The following is a 24,783-nucleotide window of genomic DNA, read 5'->3' on the forward strand; positions in this document are numbered from 1 at the left end:
CTTGGGTGTGTGGCTGAGGGTTGGTGAGGTGAGGCTATTCCCTGAGGACTCACAATGAGCTCAAGGGAACAGCATGGATTAGGAGCCGGCATCATCCTAGGCATCTTCATTGGGCGAGCTCCATGACAATGAACTCCCCTTCCCCTTCATCTATCACAGTCAGAGGGACACCAATGAACCACAAAGAGCCAACAGGGACAACAACCAACTAAAACATCAGGGGTATTCACCATTTTCTTCTTGGTAAACCTTCGCATGATTCAACCACCAATCCTACCTCTCTGATAACTTATAAGAAGCAAGGGACAAAGTGGTGATTCAGATTAATGAGCTCTTCTTACATGCTACTCTAACCCTCCCTCCCCCAACGCAAATACCAAGATTCTCTGAAAACTGGAAATACACATGGCTACTAGATTATGTTTTTTCCCTAAACATATCAAACTTGTTTTAAAAAAATAAAATTATGGTTTCATTACATAGTTTATAAATTAGTATTTTAGAAAAAAGTTGATTAGTAGGAAAAGAATAGCTTTCCATTGCATCATTACAATATTTCTGACAATCCAGAATGAATTAGAAGAAAAGCAGAGCCCAGATCACATTTTGTGTTAGGGATTTGTCTGTTCTCTTGTATCTGAAAGGAAGTACCATCTGAATAGACATAGTTTTAAATGTCTAGAGATAATGACTTTTCTACTGCCAATTCTGGCTCAAAGACAAAGATGGTGAGGGAGCTTCAACCTCACAAACAGACCTGTTCATAATGGCACAGCTAACAGGTCCAGGGCTACACAGCATGACGTTAGCAGAGAGCCTGGAAAACTCCATCCACAGCTCACTGGATGATTTAACTTGCCAGAGTATATAATTAAGAACAGTTATCTTTATAGTCATTCCTTCATTATTGAGATAACTCAATTGGAGGCTGTTTTAGACATGCTGGATTCAGAAATAAAATCCTTACAGACTGCACTGCAATGTCATGAAGATTACACCAGAAAACAAATGGATGTGCATAGACAATCTTCTGTATGTACCAGAAAATTAGATCTCAGGAGAGACATGAAGAAAAAACATAAAATCAAAGAGGGTGGGGGCCGAGCACAGTGAAAGGTATAATCAGCGGCTTCCCAGAGAGAGGAACCTGCAGGGCCAGCAAGTTCGCTGGTTGTTACCTGGGGCAGCGCTCTTCAGTGCTTTCACTAACTGTCCCCTTCCAGCTCCAAAACCATTATCTCCATAGTCCAGGTCACTGTCACTATTACTGCCACCGCTGGCAGAGTACGTACACATTCTGGGTGCCTTGTCCTAAATGAGTAATATGAGACTGTTAAGATAATTCATACAAATCAAAATGAGGCAGAGCATCCTGTGAGGATGCGACACAGTTCACATCTGGCTGTCAATGTGTGCACAGAATTCCATTCCCACTGCCCAGCCCGCCGCTCACCCGAGAGCAACTCTGGTTTGCCGGTTTTTCTGCCTCCTGAGGAGCTGATGCTGTCTACTCAATTACCAGAGCTGCAGAAATAGGCCTGCAATAATGAAGCTGTCGACGGCACTCTGCCGTTGTCCCAGGCTCAGGAAGGTCCCCACGGTTACCTGGTCTGCATTTTGTACACTTCTTTATAGGGTCTTATTTTTCTCAAGTGCCTATTATGAGCTGCTGTTCCAAACCTAATGGCTTATTTATTTAACTGATCTCATCATTGCCTTCCAAGTATCAGAAGGTAATAAAACAATCAACCTTGGGAACAAAAGAATAAATGTTTGCCTAATTTATAATTTTCTTTCAGCTCCCAAAAGGACAGTAGCTTTTAGAAAAGTAAGCAATTGCTGACTCCATGTAATCCTCAAATCTGCTGACAGTTCATGGGCTGAGGAGCCCAGTTTCCCCTCTTGCTCACATGTACACATCACCTGACCCCATCCCCTAAGGATGTCACTGGTGTGGCAATGATGCTGTATTCAGAAATTGCTGAGGCGGTTGACGCTGTATGAACAGTATTCCCCTCTGTGCACATAAGCAGAATACTGGATCCAGGAGCGCAACTCCTATGTGTTGAATCGAGGTTATTTGGGGCCCTTTTTTCTGTTTGTAGAATGTCCTGTTAGAGCCTATTATTCCTCCCTAAGCCAGATAGTTCCAATACAGATGCATTAGATGGGTCTCTGAAGTTTGTTTAGAAGGGTGTCATTTGGTTGGGGAATGTAAAAACACATTTTAGGATGTAAACTCGCTTATCTGGGGTTATAAATTCAAGCACTCATTTCCTTTACTCTTTCATTCATTTACTTAGTCACCCATCCATTCAACAGTGTTTACTAAGTAACTACTCTGTGCTAAGCAGTATGCTAGGTTTTAGGGGTGGAGAGCTTAATACTGGAGATACCAGTAGTCTAGCAAGGACTAAGTCCATGAAGAAAGACAAGTCTACTGACTGTAGTTCTGGGTAACGTGTGTCCAGACCTCCAAAAGGACCCAGTCCAGTCTGGACATGATGAGGTACATCCTTTCATAGCTCCATTCAACAAATGCTAACTGAACCAGGCATCGTGCCAGGTACTAGAAATATAAAGCTAATTCCTGCTTGAAACGTTCCCTATCTGGCAGTCAACAAAGCAGGGTTCTGAGTTTCAAGGATTTCCAGTGCATGGGGCTAGTGCAGGACGATGAGGAAGGGAATCCTAGAGAAGTGTGTCCATTGGTGGATGTATGTCTTATGTGAGGAGTGCAGGTCCCCTCTGGGTCAGCAAGAGTAACTTTTTTTTTCCTTTTTACGTTCTTGGAATTATTCAAACTCCTTTGCCATCAACACCAACTGTTGTTCCTGAACTGGTTTTCTGCTCTCCAATTCTGTGTGTCTGTCATGATTTTCTAAATTTTACAGCTCTCAATTTTCTCAATTTGCCAGTTTCCCAATCCTCCCAAAGCCAGCACAGAGTCCTTTGGAACAGTGGCAGCAATGCTCTGTGCAAAGTGTGTTCCATGGATCAGCAGCATCAGCATCACCTGGGGATTTGTTAGAAATGTGTACACCTTACTCCGTATATGCCAAATCAGACACAAGTCTATGTGGGCAACAAGATTGTAGCCCTTCAGGTGGTTCTGATGCCTGCTCCGGTTTGGGAGGCACTGATCTGGAGGAGCCCTAACATTCTGTGTTTGACTTAAGGCATGGCAGAACACAGCAGTTTCCTCCTTTGCCTCTCAGACCCACGTCTTGTGGAGGCAGCCATCCCAGGTGCTGCCCTGGACTTCAGAGGGCCCAGTTCCAGTCTCGGCTCTACAGCAACTTTCCCCGGGACCCTGAACATGGTCCAGCAGGACTCTAGTGTTCCCCACTGGAAATTGAGGCTGTGGGCCCAGAGGATCTGCTCCCCTACTTGTCCATGGTCCCCTTCCATACTGAGGCAGATGCTCAAGGTTGAAAGGTGGTTTGGCCACACTGAGTGAGGGAGACCTCAGATGTGGGTGAATCTGGGTATCTCATCATCATAGTTGGGCAGAAACTTTAGTAAAAATAGCAACCAAGGCTCTTGATACCAGACCTGGGAAAGCCAAGGGCAGCAAAAGTGGGAAGGGCCAAGGAGGGGCCAGGAAGTTCTGGAAAATGAACCATGTGTCTTCCTCCTCCTTTCTCACCACCAGGCACCAGGGCAGATGCTGCAGTGGGCCACCCCAGGACGAGTGGTGAAATGGCAAATAGGCTGACCATGGTCAGAGTAACCTGCTGGAAACGGTAAACAGGAGGGGGTACCACATAACCCCCACTAGGAATGAGCAAGGAGTCCCTGAGCCAGACACCCATAGCCACCCATAGCCACCCATCAGGAGTTCCGTGTGTGTCATCTCAGGGCAGATGAAGAACCCACTGCAAAAATGAAACTCAGGGCTCACGGATTCTAGCAAGTCATTTGACCACACCGAGCATCTGATTAGCCATCCTTAAAAGCAATAGAATTAGATCTGCTTTCCCTGTTTCATAAGAACAAAGTAAAGGTTAAAATAACTACTGAGATACTGAAAAAATAGAAAAAACATCATTCCAATGGCGCCCACATGGCTTGGGAGAGTGAATGCTTGTCCCACAATATCTAATCAGGGGAGTGCATCCATACCCAAGAATCTGGGTGCATTTCAGAAGCACTTTGATTTCTTCAGAATAAAAGTGTCCCAAGAACCCACAGTATTCCTTAATAAGGCAGGGGAAAGGGTGAACCCTAGACCTTGGTTTATATTCAGTAAACCAACAGCAAATTTCATTTAAAGTGAAATCTATCATAAAAGTGTTTTTAGGGTACACTTTTTAGAATCAGGACCAACAGGTGGATTGCACCCTTCACCTCCCCCGACCCCTCACCTGGGTCCCGGTGGCAGCAACTTCACTCCCCCAGTCTGGAAGCGGCTGGCTTGCCATTGGGTCTTCAGCATATCCGAATGATGAGCATGTCTGAGGCCTTGGCTCTGCTTCATTCTGCTTTTGGGAACTGACTTTTCCTAAATGAGGACACGTATGTGGAATCACATATCACCTTTCATCAACATTTTACAAGTTTAGGGAAGGAGGTGGGGGAGACATTCAGAAATAATAAAAAAGGTCCAAATACAGTGAAAGCTGGGCTTCCTGCCACTCTGTCCCACTGTAGTCTGTGCTGCCCAAAACATCTGCTTAATTATGTATACACATCTATAGAAGCCCCTTTTCAAGACCCCGAGGCAAACTGTTCTTAGACTACTTTTCTACAAAATGTTGAAAGACTACAGGTTAGGAAGGGTTCAGCAGGCAAACCATTCAGGAAACACTAAAGTTATTCTTCAAATAATGTTATTCATCCAACAACAATCAAGTTTCTTTTTTGGAGGACTTCTCAGAGGCTTCAGTGTGCCAATGGGCATTAGCGTAGTTTCCGAAGAGAGGATTTGAATTTGCAGGCTTCCTCAAACATAGGGAACCCCGATTTTCCTAAAATACGTATTAAGGTTATTTTGAATAGTGTGGATTGGGAAGCTTTGCTTGGAGCCCTTAAACATCTCTCAGGGCAGTACTTTTCAAGCTTTAATGTACATATGGATCAGCTGAGCTTTTGTTCATGTGCATGCTGATTCAGTAGGTATGGGGTGGGCTCTGAGAGTCTGCAGTTCTGACAAGCTCCCAGGTGATGCTGATGATGCTGGCCCATGGACCACATTGAGTAGCAAGGGTGTAATTAGCAGAGAACAATTAAAGAGAGTTTCCCCACTACCCATGAAAGTAGATTAACCTGCATAGTGTATGCCTTTGTCATGCCAGAATGGAGAATTGCTGTCATTATCCTCCAACCTCAGTGATTATAAGCAAGACATGCTGTGACAGCCTCTCCAGAGCATTTTGTTTGTGAGGGGAAGCTAAGAACTGTGTTTTCATCAGCACTGTGAGTTTTGTATAGTGACTTCCATTTTTCATATGGGGATAAGAAAAATAACCAATTCAAATGTACACATTTGAATTGGCAGTGACTGCTCAAAAAGGAGCTATAATCTCATTTTCTTTTTGTTCCAGCTAGTCCTCATTCCCTAATTTTTAACATGCATAACCGATGGACACAGAAAAGAGAAGCACTGGAAAGTAGGCCCTGCCTCTGGACCACAGATATTATGTCAGGACAGGAAAGTTCAGGATGGGTGACAAAAATTTCCTGCAGTGTGTTCACCTCACACTCTACCATATACTACCTTTTTACAACTCTTCACTGTAATTTAATTAAGATAGAACCCAAAGCCAGGTGCGGTGGCTCATGACTGTAATCCCAGCACTTTGGGAGGCCAAGGCAGGCGGATCACCTGAGGTCAGGAGTTCAAGAACAGCCTGGCCAACATGGCGAAACCCCATCTCTACTAAAAATACAAAAAATTAGCCAGGTATGGTGGCACATGACTGTAATTCCAGCTACTCAGGAGGCTGAGGCAAGAGACTCAGCTGAATCCAGGAAGTGGAGGTTGCAGAGAGCCAGGATTGCACCATTGCACTCCAGCCTGGGCGACGGAGTGAGACTCCATCTCAAAACAAAAACAAAAACAAAAAAGACAGAACCTTAGATACCTGGTGCAGTGGATATTAGCAGCAACATCTGAAAAATCTCCTTCTGATCCCTTATGAAGCAATTCAAGACTTGCGGTTTCTATTCAATTTGTTATAATGACAGTGTTTAATCACGGAGTCTACAGCAGCCGCCGCTGAATTGAGGTCACATATGTGACTATTCAGGCATGGAGTACACAACCTATAACTAAGATTTCGCCCCTGAATCTCTGGAGGCTGTGTCATTAATTAACAACACATTTATCTCAAAAATAATATGCATTACAGTCTTTAAAAATGTAGCCTTGACTTGGAATGAGCAGAAGTTTGTGACGCAACATTCGTGGCAATGGGTATTCCTATATAAAGGAAGAACTCAGCCATGGGAATAGCCCAATCACATTTATTCAAAGATTTATAATTAAAAGTCTCCTTTTCTAATTTCTCAGAAGCCTATAGCATAATCTCCACTTGCAGCTCCTTTCTAATCATCAACTCATACATGAAAGTGTTCGATTTAAAGTTTTAGTTCCTATATTTATGCATGTTGTAAAAGCAACATAAGACATACAAGTTAAAAATTATTTAGTGTCATCCTGGGCTGCAATACACATTTTTAATCGTGAGGGAACAATGAAAAACTGATGACCCTTAGCCCAGCCCTGTCTTTCATCATGAAATCTTGTTTCAATTGACTGCCACGAAGGATAGTACTTCTCAATGGGAAGACTCACTCTATTCTATTGCAATCGGTGCACGATCTACTGCTGATTTATCAAACTATGTCTTTTATAGTTCAACATATAAAGATATTTTAACTGGATAAGAATACACCAGAACACGTATGTTTCTGGTTAGAAGGCAAACAACATTGTAGTTAAATCTATATCTTGGGCTGAAATTGGTCTATATTCAGAGTTAAGTTTTATAGGATAAAACCTCACAAGTGTATGTTGCATGGCTTTTTTCTTAATCAGTTCATATATCCATATACCAGTATTTACATGTCTGTTTCCTTATATGTGTGTGTACTGCTTGATGTAATACTATGAGTAGATATTGTCTTATACACATTGTTTTGCTTGTTGGTGAAGGACATGAAGGAATTTTCACATATCTACATTTTTATCAGGCAGGTCACTGACTTACTCATCTCCTGGTGAAAAGTTTCCCTTTTTTTTGTCAGCAAATGTCTTATTAAGGGTGGGAAATTGGCATTTTACCTGAGGAAGCTGGTTTGGGGAGGCGGCTCTGAAGAGGCCTCATCCCTCTGGCGGTCATGATGGGGTCGGATGTGGAATGAACAATGGCGCTATCTGCAGGGCGCTGGCCGTCTGTGGAGGAAGGCACTTCACGTTCAAGGGTTTGGGCTCTCATGGAAGAAACTGCAGAAAGGGCTGACTGGAGAGGCAGGAGAGGCTCAGCGTCCTCTGGGGAGTCTGGCTGGCATAGGTAGCGTCCTGTCGAGCGATTTCCCGAGTCTGGGAGTGGAAAGGTTCCGATCCCACTGTCCAATGTTCTCATCTGGCAGTTGGATTCTGAGATAGAGAGACAGAGAGAGAAGGGAATAGAGAAGGCTCACATAAAAGGATAAAAGAATCATGGAAATTGGGGTATGATCTGGAGGAAAGGAGACACCTAGAAGGGTGAATTTAAGAAAAAGAAAAATGTCACAAGGACAGAAAACCAAACACCGCTTGTTCTCACTCATAGGTGGGAATTGAACAATGAGAACACTTGGACACAGGGTGGGGAACATCACACACTGGGGCCTGTCAAGGGGTGGGGGGAGGGATAGCATTAGGAGATATACCTAATGTAAATGTCAAGTTAAGGGGTGTAGCACACCAACATGGCACATGTATACATATGTAACAAACCTGCACGTTGTGCACATGTACCCTAGAATTTAAAGTGTAATAAAAAAAAAGAAAAATGATAAGCATTTGGAACCAGTATTAGTGGTGTAGTAAATTTCCAGTGAGGTGCATGAAGTGGACCTTTTTGAACCTGAAAACATCCCCCTTCATGTAATATGAGATAAGAAGACCAGCCTGTTACAAGCAGCAATAGTCGCTTGTGCATATATCCTGGATAATCAGAAAAGGAACAGTCATTAGAGACCAAATTGTGGTCACCCTTATTTCAATCTGGGAATCATACAACTTCAACCAATTAGGTGAAATTTATTAACTGAAATAATGAGTAATGAGAACACATAAATTGAAGTGACGTCCTAACAATGGTAATTGTGTATCTCGTGCATGAATGATCACCCATTCAGCAGTTGACTAAATCTCTGGCCTCTTAATTTGACTGTGGGGACAAGTAATTCACACGCCAGAAGGGTCATCCCAAAGGGTACCTTTCCCATCATAACACCACTTATCATGTGGACTTCATTCGACCCAGCTGAGAAGACTGCGAGCCACTTTCTTTCACTCTCACTTTATTCAATGACAAAACTCATCAATAACGCTTTGGATTTCTTGGCAGTCCCAGGGATCCCACTATTCTCTAGAACAAATTAAGATGATTTCACCATGTGTGTGACATAGTCTGTTAATTGTGTGTCAGCTGCAAAACATTTTATATACGGAGAAAAGTACAGTATCTGAAAAAATTACCACGTCATTTCTGGAATGGTGGTGTGGTTTATCAAGGCCAATGAGGCAGCTTCCAAGATCTGGATGTCACCCAGAAAGTCTCCTGTTCATATGATAATCCTGGAAGGAAACTTCCTAGGTTTCATCTTAGAAGCATCTTACAAGTCTAGCACTGGGTAAGCGGAACAACTTAGCACTGTGTTAGGCATGGTGGGGAATGTAATAGATTACGACATAATGTTTGTACCAAAAGCTCAACAGCTACCACTTCTTTGGTGCTTTAAGAACAGAGGCTTGTGGTGTGATCTCCGCCTATGACTAATTGTTTCAACCCCTGTGCAAGAGCTTTAGCCTCTCGAGGTCTAAGGTTCCTTTTACTGCTGTGAGGATTAAAGTATGTTCATCATTTAATCCTTAGAATTTAGAATGGCACTAAGCACACTGTGAGACAGCCAAGTAAATGAATAAAGAATGGCAAAATGCACAAAGTATTTAGTATATTTATTACATATTAGTAGATATCTGATAGGTGAACAGCTTATCCTTAAGTATCTTTTCTATACAATCTCACTTCATACTAAGCAATTACTATCCAAACTTCAGAATTTGCCCATTCCCCTACCTTCCTCCTCAAAACCTCTTTGCTGAGTAGCAGAAGTCTGGGAATTTCCTAATACTGAGGCAAAAATAAAGGGATGGGAATGTGTACAGAGTTGGCTTTTCTAGGCTCAAAGAGGTTTGGTGCTTGGTATTGGAAGTACTAGGAAGATGAAGTCCCTACTCAAGAGGCTTCAATCTTCACAGGGATATTTAGTAGGAAAATACAGATACTCTTTTCTCCACTATGGTGTCATTTAACCATCTCATATGCCATGGGATGTTTGGTCATGGACTCCAGGATATCTGAATCATACAGACGCACCAAGAGAAGTGCTTTTCTTTCCCAGGATTACAAGGGTTTTAGCCTCATTAATTTCAGGGCCCCCACCTGGCCAGCTTTATTCTCAACCAGACTTGCAGATTATTCATGACCTTCTCTTTTCATTTTCTCCTCAATTAAGGGTATTTAATTGTTATAGAATGGTGTTTTTGAGAAAGGATCATCTGTTTGCATGGGGAGGCACTGCCAGATGAGTCAAAGAAAGGACACTGCTATTCAGACTTCTGTGTCTTTTCTTAATTTTAGCCTACACATACAACACTTCAGATTTACATGTCCATGTGTTGTAACTGGGGCAATTCTGGAAGACTGAAATATTTCAGATTTACAGGAGTAAGTAGATCTTCATCAGAACCGACTCAGTCTTTGAAGATGAGAATCAAAGATTCATGGGATGTAGCAGCTGAGATGTGTCAGACCCTATGTACCCCAGGCTGCCTGCCCTAATAATTTACCCCAGCATCCTCAGGACCACCTATCCCTGAATCAAAGAGGGCTCAGCAGGGCAGGACGTTAGGGGCGCTTTTTCTTTTGAGAAGACGCGTCATCAAAAGTTTGGTGCTTATTACAGCTATTAGGAGTTCTGCTTTCTTTGTATCATTTCTTCATCCTCACATACCTATAAGGCAAGAACTATTATTGCCATTTAGAAATGAGGAATCACAGCTAAAAGAGGTTAAGCAACTTGTCCAAGGTCATATGCTGTAAATGAAAGCCTGGACTTGAATCTAGGCCTAACTACAAAGACAATGCTCTTAGCCACCAAGCTATACTGATTCCCCGCAGAAGCACAAGTAAACCCCAAAGTGGGCTCTGCTCAGTTCATAGCCATTCAGGCAGCCACGTGAGCAGAAGCCTCACAGCATGGCCCCATGGCTTCCAGGCAAGGTGCCCAGCTTTTCCTCTGAAATTGGTGCTGGCCCTGGAATTCTAGCTTGGTTCCTGGGCTCCCCATTCTGTGGCTGGAGTCCACTGTCAACATGCCTGGCATCTAGCTGGTTGTCTGGTCCTTTGCAGGATGCCTATGCAACCATATCTATATAGTTCTGAGAATCCCAAATGCCTAGCAACTCTTCCTTCTGCCCTCTTGGATTGAATCCTTAGACTTCTCGCCAGGATTTTTTTTAGAGTTTACTTTGCCTCCTGATATGGTTTGGATCTGCGTCCCTGCTACATCTCATGTTGAAATGTAATCCCCAGTGTTGGAGCTGGAGGCTGGTGGGAGGTGTTTGAATCGGGGGTTATATCCATCATTCATGACTTAGTGCCATCCCCTTAGTGACAAGTGAGTTCACATGAAATCTGGTTGTTTAAAAGTGTGTGGCACCTCCCACCTTCTCTCTTGCTCCTGCTCTTGCATTTGAGACACCTGCTCCTCCTTCACCTTCCATCATGATTGGAAGCTTCCTGAGGCCCTCACCAGCAGCTAATGCCAGCACCATGCTTCCTATACAGCCTGCAGAACCATGAACCAGTTACACCTCTTTTCTTATAAATTACCTAGCGTCAGGTATTTCTTTATAGCAATGTAACAATGGCCTAATACACCTCTAGCTTGGTGATAGGCAGACTTCCAAGGGCAATGTTTTTCTGGCTTTGTCTCCCTCTTCTATGTATTATAAGGCACATAGAGCACTTAATCCAGTCTCCTCAAATGATGATTCAAAAACCGAAGTAAGAATCTTGACAGCCTTTTTCATTTTGGCAATAGGTGCCATAAACAAAGCTCATACACGTTTGTCTAACCTATAACACAAAGCCATCGGGTAGTTGCAGGAAATAGGCCAGAGGAGGAATTTGGGGGTAGAAAAAATGTTGAAGGTGGTCTAAGTCTGGAGCCTTTCTGAAGACAACAACATTTTCTAGCATCAGTCCCCTTAAATTATTTTACTTTCCTTTCAACACCCAATATTGTTATACCAGAGCCTATAAAACAGGACTTTTGGAATTCTTGAGTTCTCTGATTCCCAGAGAATTGCATGCCCTGACATTAAACTCATAAACCATTCACTATTAAGGCCATTTTTATTTCTAGAAATTACAGATGCCAAATGTAGTGAATGTGAAGGATTCATTTGTAAGTACCTATGAAGTGAGGTGTGGACAGTCAGGGGCTCAGACACATGCCAAGTTTCCCTGCAAGAAAATGTCTTCAGAATACATAAACCTTTGGAAATGGAAGTTTATATTGAAAATGCTGACACCATCTTTATGTAGTTTCTTTAAGGCACAATTAGTTTCTTGCAGTTCATAAAAATATTGTAACCCGAATTACAAGTGTTAAGATATTGTACTTCTGAAGCCAGTTTTTTTTCTCAGAGAATTTTAAGAACTCACAAAATAATCAAATGGTTGTAGTAGGACCCAAGTTCAAAGGGGCAAGCCTCCCTCATCTTCAATGAGTTGATGCAGTATTGCTCTCAACAAATGTGAGTTCACAGCTGGGCGCGGTGGCTCATGCCTGTAATCCCAGCACTTGGGGAGGCCGAGGTGGGCGAATCAGGATGTCAAGAGATCGAGACCATCCTGGCCCACATGGTGAAACCCCATCTCTACTAAAAATACAAAAAAAAAAAAATCAGTTGGGCATGGTGGCATGCACCTGTAGTCCCAGCTACTTGGGAGGCTGAGGCAGGAGAATTGCCTGAACCTGGGAGGTGGAGGTGGCAGTGAGCCGAGATCGCACCACTGCACTCCAGCCTGGTGACAGTGAGACTCCGTCTCAAAACAAAACAAAACAAGAAACAAAATGAAAAACAAAAAAAACCCCACAAATGTAAGTTCACATTTCTGGCTGTGAGTGTAGTTGCCCACAGGGCCTTGCTAAGAAGTTCAAGGGTTGGGTTGTTGGATGTACCAACGGGCTTCATCCTTGCAAGGTCACCAATTACATCTCTGATTCTGGTCAACCCTCTCACCTGTTCCCATTGTTCCATGTGCCTTCTCTCTGTCTCTCAAGGTATTAACAAATTCTCACAGTTACCACCACCATCAAGACCCAGGCACCTCATGGGATGACTTAAGGCACTACTTCCCAGTCCTTTTAAAGTTGTATCGCACATAGGAAATATACAGTTGGTTGAGGAAAACACCAGTCCCCAGGACAACTGGTCAACTGAGGGCTGAACAAGCTCCATCTCGGTACACCTGGAACCCATTCAGAGCAGTCTACAGCAGAATGGTAGAGAATCTCATAGAGAATGGAGTCCCCATTCTCTTTTACTGACACCTTGAATACATTCCCTTGCATATGTTTGGTATGCAAGGAGGAGACCTTTTCAGTCTCCTAGAAGCAAATACAGGACTTTCTACAAGGCTCTCCTTTTGGGGGAAGAATGTTAAGACTGCTTGGGGCAGAAATATTGTCTGGCACCAGACTTCAGTAAAGAGGAAAGTTACTGTGTCTCAGAGGGACATAAGCAGCCAAGATGGGTGTGGTTCCTTGTGGGATGGTGGCAGAGAATTTTGAAGAAACATTTCCACTGGGGATTTTCAAGTTGCTACCTTAGGGTGTGTGGCTGAAAATCCCCACTCATCTCACTAATGAGTGTTACCCTGCTGCTCCCTACTCCCAGCTGCCTCCGCTTCTGGCCTTAGTGTCTTCATTTGCAAATTAGATCCCACTATCTTCATTATAGGGGTGCTTTGAGGACTAGAAACAAAGCATGTGATAAGCCTGGCACAATGCTTGCAAGAGGCACACTGTTATAATTCAGAAAATGGCAACAGTTCTCAAAATAAATGTTATTAGACTGTAAGCATCGTGCAGGCATAACTGGATTTGATTCATCTCCTCCATTCTCCCATATAAGTGGCTCCTGCTCCATGATTGCTCTTATTCTACAGAATGGTAATTATACTTCCCAGGCGTCTGACTCTATCACCAGTGCTCAGCATCACACCTAACACATAGTCAGCCCTCACTGATGTGGAATGAATGAACAGGTGAATGAAAAACAATAAACCTTTAGAATGGTCTTCCTCATCGTTAATGGATGTGAACCTCTTCTTGTGAAATCACAATCTGCTTCTTTTTTGCTCTGACTTTAGCAACCAAAGCAAACAACTGACTCCCTTTTCTGTAGTTATTTTTCACATGAAGCCAGACTTCATTAATTTAGATGGCCACAGAGATAAGATCATTCAGAATTCCTGAATATTTTAATGATGGATTTCTTAGTACTTTAAAGTCCTTGGGACAAGAATGGATGACCAAGACAAAGGACAGCCAACAGTAGGCTGTTCTAACATCCTCCTCAGTCCCTGTGCCAGTACACAGCATCACTGGGCCTGAAGGTCCCAGGTCTAGGAAGCTAGTGTGGCACAGTAACTCTGGCTCTCATCCCAAGGAATTCTAGATGCCAAGTGGAATGCTGCCATACTGTTTAACACCAGCATCCACAGTATTGTGAGAACTAAGTTCTTACTAAAGAGTCACGTTCCTGGGGCCATTTGTAGTGAATGAATGAGATTACTCATTATATGAACTTCTTAATGCATTTAGCCAGAAAAGTGAGTTGCCCTCTTTTAAAGCAAATCACTCTGTTAACTTCATTGACTATTGCCTTAGTCCATGTTGCATTGCTATAAATGGGTACCTAAGACTGAATAACTTATAAAGAAAAGAGATATATTTCATAATTCTGCATGATGCTGACATCTGCTCAGCTTCTGGTAAGGCCTCAGGTAGCTTTTACTCATAATGGAAGGCAAGGGGGGCTGGTGTGTGTTACATGGTGAGAGAGGGGGGTGAGTGCCAGACTCTTTTAAACAACAGCTCTCGTGTGAACCAATACAGTGAGATCTCACACATTACTTCAAGGAGGGCACCAAGCCATTCATAAGGGATCCACTCCCATGACCCAAACACCCCCACCAGGTCCCACTTCCAACAATGGGGGTCACAATTCAACATGAGATTTGGAGGTGACAAATATCCAAACTATATAAACTATGCTTCTTCCAAACTTGTTTTATACCATATTCGTTCACATAGCAACATCATCTTTATAAATAGCTGCAAAGAAAAAAAGTTGATTTCCAGCACTATTTCAGTTAATATAAATTTCCAAGTGAGTAGGATATGAATTAGCAATGATCTGTGGTGTTTGGGAAATGCCACTAATTTGTTTCTCAGCCTTTTCTTCTGCAGATTCAAGTGTCTCCATCTTTTCTTACGGATCCAATTTCACATATCTGTAATGGTTTGAATTTGTAACCTCAAAACTCTTGGTATTATTAACGTATCTGTCAAAAGAGATTATTATAGGCCAGGTTTAAGGAAACCTGACTTTAGTTCTAAGTTACTCTGAATATTCAGATAAATGAAGTGAGAAGACTATATGCTTCAGAGTTGGAAAGACTGAGCTCAAAGACCTGCTTGGCTACCTGCTTGCTGTGGGACAACAAGGGCTTTTTAGAACTATTCTGACTTAAATAGTCATAGCTCATTTTAAATAAGCCTGGCAGAGTGCTCATTATAAAGCAGACACTCAATATATTTCTATAACCGGTTGTCAGGGAGAAGTGAGGGCCCCTGTAGGTACATAATACATATACTATCATGGAATCCAAGGGAAACCAAATTGTCATTTGTGCAGGTAGTGTTACACTGCAGCATCTGGGTACACTTTACTCAACAACTACCCTGCTTATTTCCCAAGGAGTTACCTTTTGGCAATCATTTCCCTGGGAGTCAGTTCATCAAAAGCATTAATGAATGATGAATATGCACCAATGTACTTGAGGTAGCTGCAATCTGCCTCATGTAGAGAAAACAGAGAGTCTGTGTTTTTGAGAAATCTATGTTGGAGGCAGCACCTTAAAAAGCTTTTTAAAAAGCCTATACAAATGATGTCTGCTGATTCTCCCTTGTTTACAGACTTATGACATTCTCAAGTAATAGTCCCAGATTACTACACCATGATTTTCAGTAACTTACAGCACATGGATCCTAAAAGCTTATACTTCCTTCTGTGCAACGATCTACCCACTTACAGATCCAAACAAATTATGCTAGTAATCACCTTTTTCCCCTCTGCAACCCTCATTCATAAATCCCACAAAAATAGAAAACTTTGAAACTCAAACTTTTTCACTTTGAAAACTTCCACACAGCCATAAAAGTTTCAGCCAAACATACAATGAGGCCCCAACATAATTCAGTCAGAAAGAGTGACTCATGGGTGTTTAATATTCATACCATCTTATTAATTGGCATGCATTCCTATAATGCAAGTGGTCATGTAAATAAGTCTTTGTAGAAGGTCTCTCCAGGTTCCTAAACATCTTTAAGCTACATGTGGTATTGGCAGCAGAAACTTAAACTACAGATGGGAAAACAGATCTCTTTATTTGCACATCCTTCTCTTTATCTGAATGGCTGAAACAAGCTTAAAAAAAACTAAGTCTGTTGCCAAAGCCACATCAATTAAATGTTAGTGATCCATTCTAAGTTTACCCCATGGTTTTCTCCAAGTAGTAAAAAGTGATTATACTGGTTATTTATTCACAACCATTGGGTAGCTTTTGGCTGTGGCATTAAGATGACCTTCTGGAAGGGTAAATTCACTCTGATGGCTTTGGAGTTCATGAGAATACTCAGCCTCTAAGTTCAAACTGGATTTTAGCTTCCTGAGATTTGAAAACCAAGCAGGATAATATAAATGTGCTTTCCAATCTCTTGTGCTGTCTTTGGGATAATGGAAGACCAGACTTTGGGAGTCTTGCATAGGGAATGAGTTGCATAGGGGATGAATATTTTTAAAATGTAGGAAATTAATATGACAAACAATTAAAAAAGAAAAAAAAATGGACCATGAAATTCCTTAGTACAAATGAAGAAGTTATTTAAACCAATATAAAAGAAGTGGCATCTCAGGCTAAGTTGGTATCCAGTGACTCCAATATTCTTTGTCTGACAGTAGCATCATGTAAATTACTGTGGTAGGATGTAGTTTAAGGATACAAATTGGAAATGGTTAGAAATGTATTCCAAATGCCCACACAGACCATGCCTTTATAGAAGTCTTTCTTGAATTTATTTTCATATACAGCTGTTATAGCCTCTGAAAAAAAACTCCTTCATGTGCTTCTTCTTGTCACTAATACTGAAATGGCCTCTTCTAAAGTTTTGGGAATGGTTATTGGTCTAGTATTCCAGAATATGTTATGCAATTTTCCAAACACTTCTAGATTTTTGCAAGTTTTTATAATTATCGCTATACTCTTGTCACTCCAGACTGAAAAATCTTGAAGTCTTCACATAACTGCTTCACGTCTTGCTATGCTAATATGCCTCTCTTGAAAAACAATGGCTACACTTGTACACAGTACTTACTGTGATACGTAAGAGTGGGCTAATGTGACCACTACAGTTTAATGGCCAGCATTTGTTTGACAAGGTCATCTGACTTAGGAACTCACAGTTGGATCCCAGACTCCTAGGTCCTGTTTTAAGAGTTATCACTTCCAGTTCAAAGTCCTTGTTTATAAGAGTAGGACACAGAACTCTCCCAACTCCTCACAAAGCAATGATTACCACTTAACCACTTCTGTATCCATACATCAAGTCTTGTCCTCCTTGGTTTGACATTTTTCTAACTGAAAAAAACAAACTTACTTTAATTAGCAAAACCTTCTAGAGTGCCAAATAAATGTAGAATCACAATGGCTCCAGCCCTGATCCTTAATTGCCATTTTTCTAATTGAAGAAATGCCAACTTATCTATCCACCTTTTCGCACTGTTATCCTTGCCCATTCTCTAACAAAATTACTCTATGCTCAACCTTTTTCCCCCAATCTAATTACAATTTAGCTATCTGTTGGTATCTCCTTTTAACCCACTTCTGGGCTTGTGCGTATGCAAGGCATTTTAAACCTAAACAAATGCTCTTTACGCATTCTCCTTTGTTCACAGACTCATTACATTCCCAGATCACATACCCAAATTAGTGAGTCATGATTTTCCCTTACAGAAGGTATAACATATCAATCCTAAAAGATTATCTTTGCTTCTGTACAACAATCTACTCATGCCCATAGGTTCACTCCATCTCTAGCTGTCATGCCAAAATGAAGTGAAAAGTTAAACAATTATTTGGTGAATCTGATAGACACAGGTGGCTATTATGGGTGGTTCTGTCTCTTTAAATCTCTTTTACTTCACATCAGGTTTGGTGAATTACATGGACAACTGCCTCTATTCTTAATTTCACCTGCCTGGATAACATCTGCCTTGATAAGACACATGAGGGAAGAGAGTAAAGAAAATAACTTGGGGTACAATGCCGCAGGAAGAGATTTAAATCAGCTTTATTTGTCAAGAAACATATAAAAACCAGGAAGCATGGGGAAATTCAGATCTATCAATTTAGCAACTGATGAAAATTTTATTAAAGATATTTACAGGAGCATTGGAGCCAGATCACCCTATTCATTATTGCTCTAACTTTTTTAAATTAAAAATTTGAAGTTAGATACTCTAAGAGTATAAATAATTTTAGCCTGCCTATATTACTGTAATTACAGATATTTAATCAAAGTCTTCAGAAAGATAAGAATTTAAAGTTCAAAAATGTTTTTCTCCATTTGTCTCCATATTTAATCAGTATTAATTACTTTTTCAATTATATGCAGAAAAGAAGAAAGCTCAAGACTTCACAACCTTAAGCTTTTAAAAAATATTCATTTTAACATGTTTTACTTGCTTCTAAGGATTTTAATTATTATAAGATAATCTATTTTAGCTGAATATCAAGGATCATTTATTTTTCTTTTATGTGACTGTAGTTGAAATGTTGACGAAGGGAAGACTGAAGTTGAGATGAGTCCATCTTTCCATTTCAGTGGCTACCCTCCATTCACCAATATCCCATGGCTGTCTCTACAGGAAGATAATAAAAGAAGTAATGAAATCCAACAGACCAGGGGATATGGATATGGGTAAAAATATATATAGATTTTTGCTTCCATCCATGAAGAATTAAATTGTTACAGAAACACATGTGCACATGCACACACACACACACACAATTGCAGTGTTTTCTGACATTGAAAGATAAGCACAGAATTTGATCTCTGAATCAAGGAAAACAAATGAAGTGAGCCCTACAGTTACTCCAGCCAACTGCCTGGAGATGGTTTCTAGACTGAAACATAGATGGAATACAAACATAGCCTGGAGGTAAATATAGGTGTTAAAGGGGACAGATATGAGGATCAAGGCAGCTAAAATTTGCAGGGCAGATGTATATTAAAGAATGGAGAACACTAGAAATAGTAATATATGATCTATATATATATTTTGTTTATTGTGAGGTTTCTAACATATATAGAAGTAAAATATATAACAGCACAAAGGATGGGAGAGGTTATATGAAAATAGCCTGTAACATATTATGTAAAATAGATTATGATAAAGTAACAATGTAATAAAATTACATTTAAATGTTAAACCACTCACTAAAACAGGAAAATAGAGAGGTATAGCTAATAAGTTACAAGAGGAAATAAAGCAGAATCAATAAAAACATTCAAGTCAAAAAGGTAGAAAAGGAGGAAAATAGAAAGATGAGACAATCAGAAAATAAATAATTATATGGTAGATTTAAATCCAACCATTTAGATAATTACATAAAATTAAAATAGTCTAAACACTCCAATGAATAGGCTGAGATTGTCAGATTGGATAAAATAAAAATTGGTATACAAAATATACCTATTTATATGCTGTAGATAAAACATTCATTTTAAATATAAAAAACAGATAGGTGAAAAGTGGGACAGAAAAATATATAGCATGCAAACTCTAATAAAAAGAAAGCTAGAGTCACTATGCTAATATCAGAAAATGTAAACTTTAGAAAGGAAATATTACCAGGGATCAGAAGAAATATGTTATAGTTATAACAAGGTAAATTTATCAAGACATTATAATCCTAAATATGTATATCTATAACAATAGAACTCCAAAATTATGAAGCAGAAAACTGACAGAACTTAAAAGAGAAAATGTCAGATCTAAAATTAAAATGAAAAGTCTTCTCTCAGTAATTAATACAACAAGTAGAGAGACTATCACAAGGCATAGAAGATCTGAACAATATAATTTAAAACTTTGACCAATGTGAATTGTGCAGCACACTCTACCCATCAAGGGCAGAATGCATATTCTTTTTGGGTACACATGGATTAAGATAGACCATATCCTTCATTATAAAAGAAGTCTTAGAAAATTTAAAATCACCGAAGCCATGGAAAATATGTTCTCTGAGCATCAGAGAATTAAAAGAGAAGTCAATAGAAGAAAGATGTCTAGAAAAATTTCCAAACATTTACAACTTATACAGTACACTACTAAATTTCCTGTGTATTAAATGGAAAATAATATTTTGAAATGAATGAAAATACAATGGAATGCAGCTAAACAGTGCCTTAACAAAAATGTACAGCACAAATAAGACAGGCTTAAAATAAGTGCTCTGAGACTTCATTTTAAGAAACTAGAAAAATAAGAACATATTAAACATAAACTAAGCAGAAGACATAAAAATGAGAGCTGAAATTAAGAAAATTAAAAAAAAAAACAATTTAAAAATCAATGAAACAAAGAGCTGGTTATTTTACATGACTGATCCAACTGACAAACCTCCAACTAGATTGAGGAAACACTGACTAAAGGAGAAAAGACAAAAATTCTCAATATTATGAATGAATAAGGAGGCATCACTACAGATCTTCCAGTGAATAACAGATAATATGTATGTATGAACAAACTTAAGCCAACACATTTTACAATTCAGATAAAATGGAAATATTTTTTGAGAAATCCAACTACCAGAACTCACTCAAGAAAAAAGATAAACCAAATAGTCCTATATCAATTTAGGCAATTGAATTTGGAATTAAAAATATTTTCATGAAATATTATAGGCCTAGATGTCTTCACTATTGAATTCTTCAGAATTTATAAGGATGAAAAAAATGATCATTTCTTTATAAACTCCTTTAGAAAACAGGAGAAGAGCAAACACTTTCCACATCATTTTATAATGACCATATTACCTTGATATCAAACTCAAAGACATCATACATAGAGGAAAAATAGAGATCAATATAACTCATGAAAATGGATGCAAGAATGTTTAATAATTGATTTGCTATTAAGCATTTTTGCATAATTAAGCAAATTACTCACCAAGTGGCATTTACCCAAGGAATGTAAAATTTGTTTAGCATTTAAAAATAAATCAATATTAAAAGAAAAACCATATGATTATCTCAAAATACATAGAAAAAATCATTTAACAAAATTCAACATCCTTTCATGACAGACAAAAAAAAAACAGACACAGCAAACTAGGAATAGAAGAGAACTTTCTCACTCTGTACAAGTGTAAAAGGGCATCTACAGAAAACCTACAGATAACACCATATTTGAAAAAAATAGACTGAATGTTCCCCCACTAAGACTGAGAGCATGTTAAGAATGTTAGCTCTTACCACTTCCATTTAACATTATAGTGGAGGTTATAGCCAGTGCAACAAGGTAAGGAAAAGAAATAAAAGGCATAGAGATTAGAAAGAATAAAGTATAACTGTCTTTATTTGAAGACAATATAATTGTGTATGTAGAATACTCTAAGGGATCTCCCAAAACACTATGAGAACTAATAAGTGGTTTAGCAAGGTTACATCATACAAGGATAATTTAGCAAAATCAATTGTATTAGTATGTATTATAAATAATTGGTAATTAAACAATACTATTTCTAACAGCATCAAAATATGAAAAAAACACATCTTATAAAATGGTGAAACCTTGTACACTAAGAAGTACAAAACATTGTAGAGATAAATTTAAAGAATACTGACATAAATGGAGAGATCTGCCATATTCATGGATCAGAAGACTCAAAATTGTTCGGATATCAATTCTCTTCAAATTGATCTACAGATTCAATGACATTTTAATCAAAACACTATCAGGTTTTTTTTTAAAAAAAGACGTTGACACATTGATTCTAAAATTATGTGAAAATGGAAACATTTTCATAAAGTAAAACAAGGTCAGAGGTCTGACACTGCCTGAATTCTTTATAAGGCTACGTTCATTAAGAGAGTGTGGTATTGGGTAAGGATTTGCACATAGGTCAGTGGAACAGAACAGACATTCCGGAAATAGACTCACACATATATTTTCAATTGATTTCTGACAAAGATGACAATGTAATTTAACGGAAGAAAGATAGTGTTTCAACAAAAGGTATTAAAAACAATAAATACTCATCTGAAGAAAAGTAAACCCTTTTCTCACACTGTATATAAAAATTAACACATAAACCCAAACACAAGATCTAATACCACAAAACATCCAGAAGAAAATATCGGAGTATCTCTGTGGCCTTGGATTAGGCATCAATTTCTTAAATAGAGCAAGAAAACATGAACCATAAAATAAAAGCATGATAAATTAGATTTAATCAAAATTAAAAATTTTGTCTTCAAAGACACGGTTAAGAAAATAAAACGCAAGCAACATATACCCATCATGCAACACAGCTATAATACTCTTACTGTTATATGTCCCCCCAAAGACTTATACACAAATGTTTATAGCAGCTTTACACATAATAGCCCCAACCGGAAACTATCAAATTGTTTATCAGCCAGTGGATAAACAAATTGTGGTACATTCATACAACAAAATACTAATGGGCAATAAAAACATAAACAAACTAAAAAACCACTGATACAACATGGATGACCCTCAAAAGCATTATGCTTATTAAGAGAGGCCAAACCCCCAATATTATGTATTTTATCATTGATTCCATTTACATGAAATTCTAGCAAAGGCAAAACTACACTGATATAAAGCAGACCAGTGGTTCCCTGGGAGCAGTGGTATTAGGAGAGGGTGGGGTGTAAAAGGCGTGAAGGAGTATTTTGGGGTGATGAAAGTGTTGTAAATCTTGATTGTGATAGTGGTTATACAACTGTATACATTTACAAAAACTTACTGAACTATACACTTCAAAAGGATGAATTTTGTTATATATAAATTATACCTCCATGAACCTGCTTTTAAACATTTTATACTCAGCCTGCCAAAAAAAAAAAACAAAACAAAGAAAACCAAAACTGAAATCAAACAGTGAACTCTGGTTGAACACAGATGAGCAAAGGAACTGTGCTTTCCCCAGGGTACACGCTTGAATAATCATTAGAGGCATCTGAAAGTGGTGTTGGCAAGAAAGCATCTTCAAGAATCACCAGGGAACAAGACTGATGCTATTCCTTAATCCCAGATCTATGCAGGTCACAAAGGGCTTTGTGAACTCCTTTATCTTTTCAATAATCGTGGGAAATAGCTATTATTATCTTCATTTTATGGGGGAGGAAAGCAGAACTCTGAGAAGTGAAATGGTCACTTGAAGAAGTGCCGGCCTGACTCTGAAGCTCAGGATCTTCTTATTCATCAACCTCTTTCCAGTAGGGTGGGGATCCCTGGTTTCCATAGCTGTGTGCCCCAGACACTCCTCTGCAGAGAGGGCATCTAAGGAGCAGAGCCTCTGATTCAGGACCTTACAGGTAGCTGATATATGCTCTGTGCAAATGCATTTGACCTTCATTACACCTCACCTTTCTGCAGCATAACAACATTTGTTGATTATTTACTACTGGGCAGGTGCTTCACTTGTATTATGTCATTATGCAATGTGTAATGGACACATTTTTCCTATGAGGAAACTGAAGTTTAAGGAGGTCAATAACTTGCCCGTAGGCCTATAGCTATAAGTAGGAAAACCAGGATTTGGATTGGGGCCTGTGCAAACCTCAAAGCTTCAGGCTTGATTGCTACATGGTTATAGTACCTTCTTCTGTATTCAGTTTACCAAGCATTCTGAATCAGTAAGGATGCTCTTGGTGGAAAGTAACATGTTAAATGGTGAAGAATGGTATTAGCTCACAGTGCAGAATTAGAACAAGCTTCAGGGCTGCCTTAATCCAGGGCCTCCGCCTCTATTTGCCTGCAGTTCTCTTCACTGTGTCCCTGCTATGTATCAGTTTTATCTTCAAGCTGTTATCAGGAGGTTTTAGTAGCTCCATACTAGTCAGCCACACACTCCCATGTCTAAGGGAGAGAGAAGTTGACTCTCTGTGTGCCTTTCTCTATACCTCCAACCACCTGTCCCTTGAAAATTAGGCAAATAAGGTCATAAACTCATTCCCAGACAAATTTGTATCTCTTGGAAAATGCTGTTCACTGACTGGCCCAGGCCTGAATTTCTGAACCAATCACTGGCAGGGAAGATTGCCATGACCGCCTTCATCAGGCTTCACTCCTGGAGTGGAAATGTCTGCTACATTCTTTCTGAGTCATTACTTCAGTTGAGTTTATGGCAACACTTTTTCTATAAATGGAGTAATTATTTCCATTCTTCAGATAAAACAAATGCATAGAGAACATTATCTCTTAGGGACATGAGCACATATGCAGAAGCCGGAATTCAAAGCCAGGTCTTCTAACACCAAGTCCAGAGCTCTTTGCGCTGCTCTGCAACAACTATACCCGTACCCTACTCTCCCTGTTTCAAAGAAATTCCATTATGTTGCTAGGATATATTTATATTCTAGTTCCCTCCTTTGGTATTTATTTATTTTTCTAATTCAATTACTACTCCCTTATGGACTCTAGTGAACCATTTAAAACCAAGTCAGGATACTTTTTTTTTTTTGAGACGGATTCTCACTCTGTCACTCAGGCTGGAGTGCAATGGCGTGATCTTGGTTCACTGCAACCTCCGTCTCCTGGGTTCAAGCAATTCTCCTGTCTCAGCCTCCCAAGTAGCTGGGACTACAGTTGCATGCCACCACACCCAGCTAATTTTTGTATTTTTAGTAGAGATGGGGTTTCAGGGTCTTGAACTCCTGACCTCAGGTGATCCACCCCTACGGACTCCCAAAGTTGCTGGGATTACAGGCATGAGCCATCATGCCCAGCCGAAGTCGAGACTTTTTGTCAGCACTTCCTTTCTAATGAGGTTTTATAGCTATTATTTAAAATAAATACATAGTCTGATATAATTTAAAACCTATTTGGTGTGATATAGTTTTTTCTTTTTTTTCTTCAGTTTCATTTTCTTTCTTACTTTGGAGACAGTGTCT

General features: G+C 39.6%; 1 protein-coding gene across 20 annotated transcripts in view, besides 1 other annotated feature; it reads right to left on the minus strand.

Moving 5' to 3' along the window:
- Positions 1-24,783, minus strand: part of NCKAP5 (NCK associated protein 5) — a 1,003,049-nt gene that overhangs the window by 52,661 nt on the left and 925,605 nt on the right. For 14 of the 20 annotated variants that reach the window (XM_017003975.3, XM_011511100.4, XM_005263660.5 and 11 more), the window contains 2 exons: positions 7,289-7,603; positions 4,368-4,504 (listed from right to left, as the gene is read on the minus strand). In XM_017003975.3, the coding sequence (XP_016859464.1) occupies positions 4,368-4,504; positions 7,289-7,603 (452 nt within the window). Of the gene's footprint in view, positions 1-1,178; positions 1,312-4,367; positions 4,505-6,454; positions 7,604-24,783 lie in introns of those variants that run through there. The other 6 variants (XM_047444134.1, XM_047444129.1, XM_047444133.1 and 3 more) reach the window with 2 other exon arrangements.
- Positions 22,727-22,896: an enhancer, noted in NCBI's record as "active region_16540". NCBI's record gives its function as "activates an Ori minimal core promoter by ATAC-STARR-seq in GM12878 lymphoblastoid cells {active_cell/tissue: GM12878}" and the evidence as "EXISTENCE:reporter gene assay evidence [ECO:0000049][PMID:35858748]".

Source organism: Homo sapiens, chromosome 2 (genome assembly GCF_000001405.40).
Source record: "Homo sapiens chromosome 2, GRCh38.p14 Primary Assembly".
Taxonomy (NCBI): Eukaryota; Metazoa; Chordata; class Mammalia; order Primates; family Hominidae; genus Homo; species Homo sapiens.